Here is a 14,083-nt window from a genome sequence, read left to right as displayed (position 1 = left end):
GTTTTGTTTTGTTTTTTTTTTTTTTTGCCTCAAAGTAGAACTGGATGAGCTGATAATGTTTTAATGAACTAGAATCCCATTAAAATGCTGTTTCTTTTTTTTGGAAAGAATGAAAAAAAGTAGTAAATTGCTGTCATTCTGTCTATATCTATTGAACCTGTTTGCTCCTCCTTGTCTCTGCTGTTTTTTTGCTCTAGACTAATGAAAAGTTTGGTGCCATATCAAGGGTTTGATTTAAGGAGGGAATGAAATGCATTTAAGTTTCGAAAGTTGTTCAGAAGAGTTTACACTTGATAAGCATTAGGGAGCCACTCAAGATTCCTGAGCTAGAGGACTGCAAGTGGAAACTGGGAAAGCAAGACCAGTTTAACATGGGGTGGCTTCTGCGGTTAGGAAAGCCAAAACTCTACATAAGATTGGCCGGTGCAGTATTGTACCAAACAACTTCCTAACCCAGTGTGTAAACAGAAGAGGCTGCTCTGTAGGAGTGTTGACAGGCCACTGTAGAATTAGGCCAGAGGCTAATTACAGAGAAGACAGGATAGGTAGGGAGTCTCAATCTAGCAGGTATGCAGAGGGGCCAGCTCCCGGCATTCAGGAAGCCAGGACAGGACAAATGCTTCAAAAGCACCTGGACAAAAGTTGGATTCAACAAAAATTCCTTGTACTCCAGGCCAAAGCCAAAATTGTTTGGGTGGGGGCTGAAATGGAGGTGGCTAGAGTTGGGCAAGGAAAGTGATTCTGCTTGCAGTCATCAGTGAAATCCTGGAATAGGGCAGTGGGAATGGAAAAGAAAGTAAAAGATTTCAAAGGAAGAAAGACGTTTTATGATAAGGGATTCAGGAAATGGAGGTGACAGGGCATTGCTTAGTTTTCTAAGAATTCTATGAAGAATTCCGACAAATTGGTAGTTGAGAATTGAATGGGAAAGATTTGTTTTCTTCAATTTTGAATTTGATATGCTGGTAGTTCTGCCATGAATGTGACGAGAAGCCACTGATGGCCTTGAAGCAACTTCTACGAAATAGGGAGGAGTGAAGCTATACTACTAGGAGCTATGGAAATGGTTAGAAAGGAGGTAGAAGCAGCAAATGTAGACCACATACAAGGAATCTGACAGCAGACATGCTGAGGATAAAGCCTTGAAGTATGGCAGAGATTGATGATAGTAAAGAAGCTGCTTTGGTAAGAATACCTTTGAGAAGGAAGGTGACATGAGTGGTGCATGGGATACTGTGGAAGAAGTTATTTTAAAAAAGAATTGCATCTAATCAGAGGGAAAAATTTGGAAGGATAATGGAGGCTCACATCAGATGTTTTGGTCTTCACGTCATATAAGACAAAGTCATCCATAGAAACTGAGATGAGAGAACAACTTGGGAGTGATGGAAATATCTGGAAGTAAATACTTCGAGACATGTTTATGAGGTCAGATGCTGACTAAGAGCCACAATGAGGCTGTTCACAATGTAAAGATACTTCCAACCTCCTAGCATCTCTTCTCTCCTAGTAAGTTCTGCTGTTTCTTGGCTCTGAGAATCATTCTTTGCCTTTCATTCCTTAAGTCCTCTAGTATCTATTCCAATACCTGTAAGATTCACAGTGTTTGTTTCAGTTCGTCAAACTGATAAGACACAATTCAGGTAGAGATTTTTAAATAGAAATTTTATTGAAAGAATTTTGATACAGTTCATGATTCTTTTTAAATACATATGAAGTTTAACAAAATATATACATGAATGTGTTCAAGTAGAAAATGTGAAATATACATTATAGATTTGTTGTATTGCACTTGGGCAAATCATAATTGCTCACTTCAGCATATTCAAACCGAATCACAACATAGTCTTTGAAAGTTGACATTATAACTTAGCCTTGTACTCAAACATTTTAAGAAATGTTTTGATGCCTTAATCTTCACCAAAGGAATCAAACCCAAATACTAACTTGGCCATATGTTTAAATACCACTAAAGGCAGGGAGGTAAAGTGTTGTAGGGTGCTTAAAATATACTAAGAAGGGATTTGGCAATTTTCCATTCACAGTATTTCCAATATAAAAGACTCATCCTATTTATCAAACTCACAAAAGTTGGGGGAAAATATCACTTGGGAAAAAATTTCACTGAATTGCTATCAAAGGAAGCAATGAAGTTACTTGACAAACTATTGACAGGATGTCTAGTTCAAAATAGAATCTTCATTGAGGCTAACTGTAGCACAGTATGTGATACATAAACAAAATTCAAATATTAAAATTCTAAATAAAAAAATTTTCCCCGCTAGTATAAAGTAGAAGTTCTATAGTGGAAATAACAATGAAAACAGATGAAAAATCAGTGAAGAAATAGAGGGAGGTACTACTAAAATTTTGTGTTTGAGAGGAAAAAGAGAAAGGTAAAAAATAATTCTGGGAATATTTAAATCAGTAATTGAATACATGTAGTGATGTCTTTAAAGCACCTTCAAGAAAGACCTCTTTCATTTTGGATGACAATACATTAGGATAAATGAAATATGTGAATATGGCAATTTTCCATAAAAACAAAGGAGACTATGGAGACTGTCTGGTTCCTGATTTGGCCATACAAAATATAGAAAATTCAAGTGACCCAGGTTCCACAGTCCCAATTCTGTCAAATTCCGATCCAACAATTTGTAAAATGGATAACATCTGTATACTTCCACTGTATATGAAAAAGAATGAGCAGCTCATAGGGCTACTTAAAAAAAAAAATGGCCAAGGTGAATATATAGTCATTTATTTGTGCAAAAATGCCAAAGAAATGCTGAGATGTCTTCTGTAAAAAACAGTAAATTACTGGTTTTACCTATCCCTAACCCTTATTTTTGACACAACTATCTAAAATGTTCACTAGTTAACCAAACATTTACTCAGCATGTGAATCCATGCTAAGTTTGAGGATAAAAGGATGCAGAAGAGAAAGATATTCTTTATTACAAGCTTTCCAACATCATGATCAAAATTACAAATAATTTTCAAGGCTGTTGTAAGAAGTCAACATTAAATGTTAAGTTTAAGCATAGATTACTACTATTTATGAAACAGATTTCTTCCTTTTGAAAGGTGTGTATAAAATGTGATGTAAATCAAATCTACTTATCCTTCTCCTGCAGTGCAAAATTACTTGTACTTTTGGGGAAGATAATTCCCTAATAAACTAAATTAAGGTCTCTTGGATAGAAATTCAGTTTCTCTCTTCATACAGCCACAAAGGGTACTATCTTTTCATTCAGTCCCTTAAGCAGCTTACTCTTCAATGCCAACAAAACTTTATTTTTTAAATAGTCTTAAAAGTGCTTAAGGGAGTTCTGGTTCCTCTTTTTAGCCTGCACAGTTTAAGATCAATGGTAAAGGTAGGAAATAATCATAAGGGCACTGGAAGAAGGAATGAGTCTAAATAATGTATAATGACTGTTCCGCCATACCAATTTTGTCATGGTGATTATTCACTAATTTTATAGGAGAGTGTATTGAGATCTGCTACAGCTTCTTGGATCTTTGAAGCACTGCTGAATTACATACACAAAGCAGAGCAGATGTCAGCACCTGATTAATCAGTACTCTACTACTGGCTAGATTCCCCAGGCAAGTCACTTAAATTATCTCCAAACAGCTTCCTCATCTGTAAAATAAGGATAAAAATTCCTTCCTCACAGAGATGTTATGAGAATTAGAGGAGATTTGAAAATGCTCCGTCAATCATAAAATCATGCAAAATTATTCCTTTGTAGAAATTTGAGGATTAAATGTAATAACATGAAGGCCACACTAACCGCCTGGCACATAAATACTTAATAAAAGTTATTCCCCATTCTCACTTTCTGTGTAATTTGCAGTTAGGAAATATAAATCAAAGACACCCTTGTCAGACTCACATCCATTTGGCTTTAACTAGAACTGTCCTTCCCTGCTCCTTTTCTTTTTTTTTTTTTTTTTTTTTTGGATACATAATCTTTCACTGTATTTGAGGCTATCTTGAGTCTCTGGTTGAGATCTGGGTCACTAAGGCTTCTGGGGGATCATGTCTTCAACAAGCCTTCCAATGAATGTCCAAAGAAAAACATATAATTTCCTTTTATTTTTTTTTTTACCAAAGTTCTTATGAATTGGAAAATAATTTGTTTCAAAGACGGTGATGAAAGGAAAAAAAAAGTTTAACTTTCCAAAGGTAATGCTTTCATGAAGAGTTAGAAATAGCAGTTTTAGTAATTAGTTGTAGGAATTCTGGTTAAGACTTCAACATTTTACCTTACTTAAAAGATTTGCTTTATGCAACATTTAATGCCCAGTTTTGCATGGCTCTAAAAATCTTTAAAATGCAAAAGCTTTTCCAGTGACTGGAAGCCAACACGACAAGAATGAAATGGTATGACCTGTGAATTAGCCTGGTTTATAAAAAAATACCAGTTCAGAGACCATAAACAAAATAAAGAAACTAAGCAATCCTTAAATTGGATTTAGCCTTGGGCAATTAGCAGAAAAATTCACTCATAAAAGGATCCATTTTACAGATATTGTTTTTTAAAATGTCAGGAACTGGTTTTATAAGAGTAAAAAAGTTAAAATTAATTGCATCTTCCATAAAGAATATGATGGAAATAATTATATACGAAAAATGAGACAATAAAAGTCCATTTATAAAGTGCCTTAATGTACCAAAAAAGGAGGTCAGATGTCCTTTATTTACAAATCATATTTAATCCCATTTACAGAAAGGCAAATATTACACTGGAGAGGCAGCATAATAGAGTATAAAGAACTCTCAACTTCGAGTCAGAAGATCTGAATCTTTTTGGCTTTGCCACTAATTTTCTCTGTGACTTTGAGCAAATGAGAGTTTTTCTGGGCTTCGGTTTTCTCATCTGTAAAATGAGAGGTAGAACTACACTGCTTCTAAAGCCAGTCCTTGCTTAGATGTAAAATTCTGTGTTAAGCAATGTAAATATGGTTCTTAAGTTTTGGAATTACATAACAGGGTTCTACCATATTAATAATCTCTGTAAAAACTGATTATTCCATAATAGGTAGGTAAAAACATTATAGAACTGTGATCAAATACATTTTGAGTTCATGATTTGGCTGCTGTACAAAGGTGCAAAAAAGGCATAGCATTTTGGTTACTGATATACACGTGTAGGTTTTCAGGAATGCTGACAAATTCCAGATATAAGGGAAATGACAGCACAAGGAACACTGACCTACAGATAAACTAGATACTGTCCTTCACAAAGATGCATGGGGAGTTAGCAAACTGAGGAAGCTGTGGATATGTTAAGCCCTTCATCTTGAGGAATATAATCTATGTTTAAAAAACCAAAGCTAGTGGCTGAGCACGGTGGCTCACACCTGTAGTCTCAGCACTTTGGGAGGCCGAGGCAGGAGGATGACCTGAGGTCAGGAGTCCAAGACCACCCTGGCCAACGTGGTGAAACCCTGTCTCTGCTAAAAACACAAAAATTAGCCGGGCGTGGTGGCGTGCACCTGTAATTCCAGTTACTCAGGGAGCTGAGACAGGAGAATCACTTGAACCCGGGAGGTGGAGGTTGCAGTGAGCTGAGACTGCGCCACTACACTCCAGCCTGGGCGACAAGAGTGAAATTCCATCTAATACAAACAAACAAAAAAAACAAAAAAACAAAACCAAAGATAGTATAGCTATATTTCTGTTTGGGAAGGTTTACCAGGCAAGGTAAACTGTCCCTGAGCAATACAAATTTGTTGTCCAGAGAATATTTTGGCTTTTAAAATATTGGCAAAGTTACACTCAGATACGAGTTTTGTTTGGTTTTTTTAAGAGTTAGCTCAATATCAGGGACATTGTAAATTAATTTTATAACAATAATCTGGTAGTATTTCTCATTGGAATTATCTACTTTAGTAATATACATGTGCCAAGAACACTAATAAGACAAAATATTTCCTAAGAGTGACAAAAAGTTGCTTTTTCTCACTAATTTTTTACTGCTGCACACATAGGTATACTGGCATTTAATTAAAGCATAAATGTTAATGCCAACTTGCTAAATGATATGCGCTGGCAATGTAATGTAACAAATGCAAATTCACATCAGTCTAACACTGTATAAACATACTCATGCATTTGTGTACTGATAGTACAGTCAAATAAAATGATTCATATTTTGACAAAAACTAAACTTGGAATGGAGGGCTCTGTGAAAGGCAGACTTGGGTCTTCAAATATCTCCGTATGTGAAATATCAGTATTTATACATAATCAGTTTTTAAAGGCACACATCCAAAAGCTCCCTTCATCTAGATCTGTCATTTTCTCTATCTAATATGCCAAAACCCACAGAATATCCCAGAGTTCTCTCAGACTTGGTGGTGGTTGCAAACTTCTAATGACTACTTATATTTGTAGAAAAACCAGTACCATTATCAGGACACTTCCTTTTGAACTTTCCTGCTTAAAAGACCTCAACAGTTGTTTTAAGCACATACTACTGCAGTAAATCATAGATTTCAAACCACCTGGCAGTAAGCAAACATGTTTAGAAAATGCCACTTTGCCTGCGGAAAAGAGACTATTGATAGAGTTCACGGCAATCTGCAGCAGTTTAGAAAAGAATGAAGAAAGTGGTCTAGTTCTCCTAATAGAGAGTAGTTTATAGTTGTAGGTCAGAAATAGGGGAAAAGACACTCTAAAACTTAGAATCAACAGGGATTTCTGCCACATCACTAAAAAGTACTTATTGATCTACATTCTTAATAATTGTTTCCATCCTGCAGGGTTTTTTCTCCCACATTTACAATTTTTTTAAGTTAAAAGGGAATATGTATTGTAAAATGAAGTATAAGGGAAAATCAGATCATTTTCTCTTCATAAAACACAGAGAATACTTAAGTAGAGTGCTCAAGCACTTATCTCGAATTGCAATTTTATTTTTCAAATACGTAAGAACCTAGAAAATCAACTCAGCACTTACTTCCTAGATACCTGTGTTAGGAAAAGTTCTACATCACCACATTTCCTCTGTACCTTTAATAATTCAAACTCAATAAAATGCTGCTTTAGGATTCCTGAAAGCAATTGTATTTGTGCAAAGCCTAAACAGGAAAACAAAGTGGATGACTTGGCATTTGAAGAATGAAAAAGCCAAACAGCACTGTCACAACCATTTCTGCCTTCAGTCTCCAATGCCTTTTTCTTTCATTATAAAATCCATAGAAATGGCAAGGAAAGATATAGGAAAGTTTATCACAGATACAGTAGCTATTACAGAAATTTGGAATTCAGCAGATGTTTTAAGTCAAAATTTTCTGTGTAACAGATGAATTTGCAAAGTTTTGAAAACACAGTCCACAAAGTAATTTAAAATGTGATAATTAAATTTGTTTTAAAAAGCAAATTAACACCTTTTATTTTCTGTGAAGATAAAACAATAAAAGAAAAATGTTCATATATCCAAACCTATGCTGGAAGTACACAAAAAGACAATTTGTATACATTACTGGCAATAGTCTTGTTTTGTACAGGATATTTTACAGAATATCCATTGTTAAAAAAAAAAAAAAAAAAAAAAAAAAACATAGCCGGGCGTGGTGGCTCACACCTGTAATCCCAGCACTTTGGGAGGCTGAGGTGGACGGATCACGAGGTCAAGAGATCAAGACCATCCTGGCCAACATGGTGAAACCCCATCTCTACTAAAAATGCAAAAATTAGCTGGGCATGGTGGCACACGCCCATAGTCGCAGCTACTCAGAAGGCTGAGGCAGGAGAATAGCTTGAACCCGGGAAGCAGAGGTTGCAGTGAGCTGAGATTATGCCACTGCACTCCAGCCTGGCTACAGAGCGAGACTCCATCTCAAAAAATAAAAAATAAAAACAAAAATAAAACATACATGACTCTTGATGGTACATTTCTATGCTGGCAAATACATTTTTGGATACAAAGGCACTTTGAAAACCCAATATGGTTTGGTTCATAAGTTTGCAAGGTACAAACAATTTAACAAACATGATTATACTGAAGAACGTCAACAATTATGACATTACGTATAGCACAGATTTCCAATTTCTTTCTTTTTTTAAAAAAAAGTAATACTGGTTTTGTGGGAATGAAAGCAGTGATTTCCAGCAGCTGCAGTGAAGACATTCCAGAAGACTGGAGGCCCACAACTGAAATTCTTACTGGCTGGGATGAGAGGATGGTGGTGTGGGCATTCAACATGAAAACAAACAAACAGAAAACAAAAACAAAAAAAGAAAGACAAAAGGACAAATTAACATCCTAAGCTAAAAACCTCAGAAGTCAAAAAGATTTGGAGGAAAGAGCACAAAAGAAAAGACCAAAAGTCCAGGAGATATCCTCTTAAATCTGATCCCTTAGCTGTGAACTCCCCACAAAGCATGAACGGCTGACTCTACCCCGTCTACTTAGTGCTCGGGAGTTGTAGTGATAATTTCTCTCTTTTAAAAAGCTGGGTACAATGTTTTGGATCGTACAGTACCAGAAAAATTTGGTCCATAAAAGGTGCATAATTTCTTTCCATTCACTACATGGCTGCAAAGTCAATCTGTACGTAGAGCTGTCTCACTCCAGCCTGAAAAGTAAGAAAAAAAAAAGTTAGAAAATCTAACAAGCTAATAACACCCTACACATTTCAGGAAAGTATTTTTTTTCTTTTACAAATCTCACTTTTTTAAAAAAAGAAAAGAATCATTTCAGAAACAAATATATTCATAAGCTACAAAAAATAATCTCCATTTACCACTACAAAAAAACAAACAAAAAAAAAAGAGCCATGTTAACAGTCACACACCCTATCCAGATATCCAGGTGATACTTAGAAAAATGCAGTTCACCTTCTACAGTTACTCTGTTAGAGGACACCATGATGCTTGACTGGTTGGCTCCTAGTTGAAATTGATACATCAACCCTGTCTAAATCCTCCTGTGATAAATGATTAGTAAACAATTTAGCAAGTATAACCATCTATTGGAATTATTTTGCACTCCAAGTTCTCTCTTCTGTTTTGGATATGAACTTGCTACTCAAGGATACTGCTCTCTAAATTCTCCCCAATATCTTCTGTATTATCAATTTACTTCCTCTCAACTAGATCACTTCTATTAGCATACAAACACACTGTAGCTGTTTCTATCTTTGAAAAAACCTCATGAGAAATTATCTTTTGGGTACAATGTACACTATTCAGGTGATAGTTGCACTAAAAGCCCAAACTTCACTACTACGCAATATATCCTAGTAACAAAACTGCACTTGTACCCCCTAAAGCTATTTAAAACAACAACAAAAAGCAACAAAAATCTTTACTTAACCCTACATCCCCTTCTGGGCTCCCCATCTCCGCTCTTCTTTACAGCAAAAAGCCTCAAAAGAGTTATCCATATTTGCTGTCTAAAATCCTTTTTCTCACTTCTCTCTTGAACTCATTTCAACCAATCTTTTGCTTCCCAACACTTCCCCCAAACTGTGTCCAGGTCACTTCCACATTGCTTACATTAATATCCAATTCTCAGGCCTCTTCTTCCTACTTCACCTATCAGCAATAATACAGATGGTCACTCCTGCCTATAGATATATATATTTTCCCTTTTGGCTTCCAGAGAATATTCACTGGCTGCCCTTTTACCTCACTTATCAGTCTTTCTCAGTCTTCTCTGCTAGTTCTTCCTCCTCTCTGAAAACTGAAATCGCCAAAGGCTAAAGAAAAAAATAAAGCTTGGTACAAGAGCTGGTAAATACCTCAGCACTCCCAGTAAACTTATCACCTTGCGATGTATTATACAACTTATTCACGGTGTTTATTGTTTATTATTGACCTCTCACTATAATATAATGTCTCCGAGATAAAGGATTTGGTCTTCTTCTTTACATTGCTGACTCCTAGAACCTCAAGTGAGAGCCAGCACACAGTAAGTGATCAATAAGTATTTGTTGAATTAACTAAAATTCTACTAATTTCCTTCTTTCAACCCAAAATGATCTATTTTTAATTAAAGGAACCCATTAGTCACAATAAGCCCTTTCTTCTCAGTACCACAGAATAAAAGGTAAATTGGAATATTTAATAGGAAAAAAATCAGAGTGAGGAAAAAATCTATTAGCACTACCTTCTTACAGTAATTTCTGGACTCCTCAAAGCACTGTTTCCTAGCTTGGCTTTTTTTCTAGAATTCAGGTAGGAGGGCTCTGTACAATACTGAGTGCTTGAAAGGATTCAGGAACTACTCGAATGGATAAAAGGCTTGCAGGCTCTAGAAGCTTGTCAGCAAAAGAAATATATTTTAATTTTGCTGGTGCTTCTCCTTTTTTTTCTTTTTTTTTTTCCTGTGGAAAGTTAAAGCCTCTGTTATTCAAATTTAAGAAAAATATATTTAATAGCATCCTCTCCTCAGTTAAGATGATGTGGCAGAAAAAAAGACAGAATTCAGTATCTGTATGTTCTTGAGTTACAAATTAAAATCAAACTTAATTTTTTCTCATTTTAAAAGCATTGATAAACACCAGCCCTACTAATCTCACACAATTGTTACATATTCATCCAATATTTGACAGATATTCAATAAATCCTTGCTATATACCAGGTACTTATAAAAGGCTATTACAAACAAATTATTAAGATTGATTACAATTATATGATCTGACATTATCCAGATGACACCTGAAATGACTGTACTTAGGAACTCTTTAAAAATTCTTATATATCAAACCATAAGAGGAAACAAATATTGTTCAAATAAATTGTCTTAATTTCTTTTATTTTTCAACAACATTGTTAGTGAAAGCAAAATGGGCAAAACTTGGGCTCTTTTTATTGTCTCTGTCATTTTCCTTACTCCTAGCCCTAAACAGAGAAGATGGTAATAAAAAATGAAGTAGCCCAAGGCAATAACAAAGAAAGGAAAAACAAAGAGGCTAGGTAAATTTTCTTTGCATAATCATGAGTTAATTACTCAAGCTGATATCCTTCCCCTGAGGGCTTACAGCTTTCCACAAAAGCTCAGTCTAACAGAAAAAAAAAAGAAAAAAAAGTCATTTTGCTTTATCCATCTGGCCCGATGAGGACAGCTTCAAGTTTTACAGATTCTCATTTTCCTCTTCCAGTTTCCTTTAAAGTAAAGAGAAAAGTGGAAGAATCCTATGGTAAGTCACCTACTCTCTGAATGCAAACTAAGTTTTCTACAGTTTATTCACATCACAAAGACATGACAGACACTCCAACAGATGAAAACACTACTCAGATCCATCATAAATTCTACCCCTAGAATGGGACCAGGAGCCAGAGGCTGGCTGACAGGTCCTTAAAATGTGAAAACCATATAGTACTCACTGCATATCCTGAGAATAATGTACAAACCATACTCCAGTCAACATTTTTATAAATGGGAAAGGCACCTATTTTGAACACTTTCATGCTCCTAAGAAAATAAATGTTAACCTGGTGCTATAGGCTTAGAATATCTTCAATACATATTTATTGTTGTAGAAAGGATAACAAATCGGAAGTAAAAAATTTAGGGAAATAAACGGGAATATGACTATAGAAAATTATTTCGACTGTACATATATTCATCCTTATCCCTTTAAAATGAAGTCTTGAAAAACTGCCTTACTCTTCCTTGTGAAACCTAAATCATTTCAGAGTTAGCAAAATAATGAGTAACTGTGACTAAATTACAAGTCAATAACAGTAACTTGAGTGTGGGTTTTTTTGTCTGTAAATTGTCTTTTGAGGCTCATTTAATATGTTAGGTACTGATCACAGTACTTGGCACATGATGAGCTCTCAATAAATACTAGCTGCTGGTGCTGTTATTATTTCCACCACTATTCATCAACCAGTGAACACTTAAATCATATGGATTACTTAAAAACAATAAACCTAGGGATCTGTTGGCCTCACAACCTGTGGTTGTTCTCTCCAACCTCCAAAGGAGGTCAGATTCTGGCGGACTTCAAATACAAATGATGAAGAAAGATAATGGGAAGATGGATAAGGAAAAACTGCAGAGCAGGCAACCAAAATCAATACTTAGGAAACATTAAAGCCCTTGACCAAAAGCTTAGAGAAAAAAAAAGGAAAGGTGGAAAAATAGTAATCCACTTTCTCCTACTCTGTACCCCCTCCCTCAAGAAGACAGAGCAAAGTTAGATAAAGCCACAGGAAGGGATTATGATCCTAGGAGAGTTTACGGAGGCAGAAAGTATCTGAAACTTGGAGCACTCTTACTTGGGCTTGTGAGGAGGCTTTTTGGTTTCTTCCTGAGTATCAGTGTTAACTTCTATTTTGAGGACAGAGAATAGAGCACAAAAAGCTGAAGCAGGAAGTTGGGGGCTTAGGACTTATCAGGCACAAGTGAGAAAGGCAAAAGAGTAGAAAAGATGGAAGAAATAAAGGTAGAAGTTCTATCAAGGAGTAAATATGTATTAGGAGAGACCATCTTTTGTGTTTTGTGGAACTGATAATGGTAATAAACCCCAAGCGTATTATAGACTTTTCTTCAAACATATTTCTACATGTTTCTTTAACATGTTTTCTTCAAACATTATTTCTAACAAAAAAGGTATATTAAAATTTTTAGGATTACAGTTATGATTGTGAAGTGTGCTATTTAAAAAAATTAACAAATACTATTGGCCAATTTAAAACATAAGATGTTAATTGCCTTCCTAATCTAGTATCCCATTTTTTTTTTTTTGCTGTTTGTACACTAAACACAAAAGGTAAACTCTCCATTTTATCAATTCCCAAATGATAACTCATTAAAAAAAAAATTAGTGCAAGGGGAAAAAGAGGGAGAAGACTTTTTGTATGTCAACAGAAAACCTGGTACTTTAAAAACTGTATTGTCACTTAATCCCAAAGCAATCTGAGTACTGAAGTGGCTTTTAGCAATCCACTTGCATTAGTTTATATTCACGTACAGCAAGCCAACTTCTTTAGCAGTTAAAGATTAATTGGTAACTCTGGAAAATGAAATTAAAAAGGATATTGCCTAAGATATAGTCACAAAACTATAGTTTTATTAACCAAATAGAAAGTTATAATTCTCCAACTTTTAGATATTGGTCTTCTCAGTTTAAAGTTATCCTCATAAAAGTTTTAACAAAACAATTTTTAACCAAAAACTATCACTTACATTGTAATTTAAGACTGGCTATAAGAAAGATACCTAAAAATGTAATAAATCAAAAGCTATAACTTATTATTGAAAAAAATCCTTCTTTTGGTATTTTGGAACTAAGGCCACCAGTATTTTGAATCTGTCTGTAAGAAATACACCTGAAGCATCTATGTGATCGAAAAGGGAGCAATTTGAGTTTTCTTATTTTTGATAAGTAAAATTTATAAGATGTAATTTAAGATCAAAATTTTTTTTAAATTTAAATTTCATTTCATAAAATAAAAATGCTCCTGCAAGCCTTGGCATATACTAATTGCATAAGGACCATGCATTACTAGGGTATATGCAGAAAAGGAAAATAAATTCATGAAAATTTCAATCTGCATAAGTCAGAACTAAAGCAGTGATCACAAAACAATTTTAAAATCATTAAATGTAGGAATGAAAGTCATTAGTAGGGTGACTCCCCTCTCCCCTAGGAAAAATGTGTTGAGCCACCTTCACTGCAAGTCTCAAAGAATCCCTGGTCTCTGCAAGGAATGAAATAAAGTAGACTTGACCTTAGGTGATAAAAAGGCTTAAAATATTTTTTCAGGGCTTAAAATATTCAAAGCTCAAATGCAGTTTCCAAAACCAAAGAAGCAGCTGAATAAACTTTCAATTTCAGCCATTTTAAAAGCCAAAATTTCTAAAGTTACCGGAAGAACCTCCTTCCACTTACTTGAATGAAAACTTCAAGAGTTCCTAAGCCCGGACACAGCTGCTTGCACATTTCTAAAACTAGAAATTGCATTCCTTTTCAGAGGGCAAATTGTGAGTAAATGCCAAAGTCTTAGGAGAATATGGAGTGTCCTAGAATTCAACAGAAGCTCACACTATAAGGGTAAAAGGACATTGCATATCTAGGAGAAAATTCAAGGTAAAGGAGGGAAAAATAATCT

At 35.0% G+C, this 14,083-nt stretch overlaps 1 protein-coding gene across 4 annotated transcripts in view; it reads right to left on the bottom strand.

The window, feature by feature from the left end:
• Nucleotides 1-14,083, bottom strand: part of SLC30A7 (solute carrier family 30 member 7) — a 99,989-nt gene that overhangs the window by 12,677 nt on the left and 73,229 nt on the right. For 2 of the 4 annotated variants that reach the window (XR_246237.4, XM_017000400.3), the window contains exon 11: nucleotides 8,500-8,592. Coding sequence is in view for 3 of the 4 variants with exons in the window: in XM_017000400.3 (XP_016855889.1) it covers nucleotides 8,545-8,592 (48 nt within the window). In the remaining variant the exon portion in view is untranslated. Of the gene's footprint in view, nucleotides 1-1,644; nucleotides 8,593-14,083 lie in introns of those variants that run through there. The other 2 variants (NM_001144884.2, NM_133496.5) reach the window with 2 other exon arrangements.

Source organism: Homo sapiens, chromosome 1 (assembly GCF_000001405.40).
Source record: "Homo sapiens chromosome 1, GRCh38.p14 Primary Assembly".
Lineage (NCBI taxonomy): Eukaryota > Metazoa > Chordata > Mammalia > Primates > Hominidae > Homo > Homo sapiens.
Note: the sequence above shows the minus strand (reverse complement) of the source record. Positions and strands in the feature narration are given on the sequence as shown.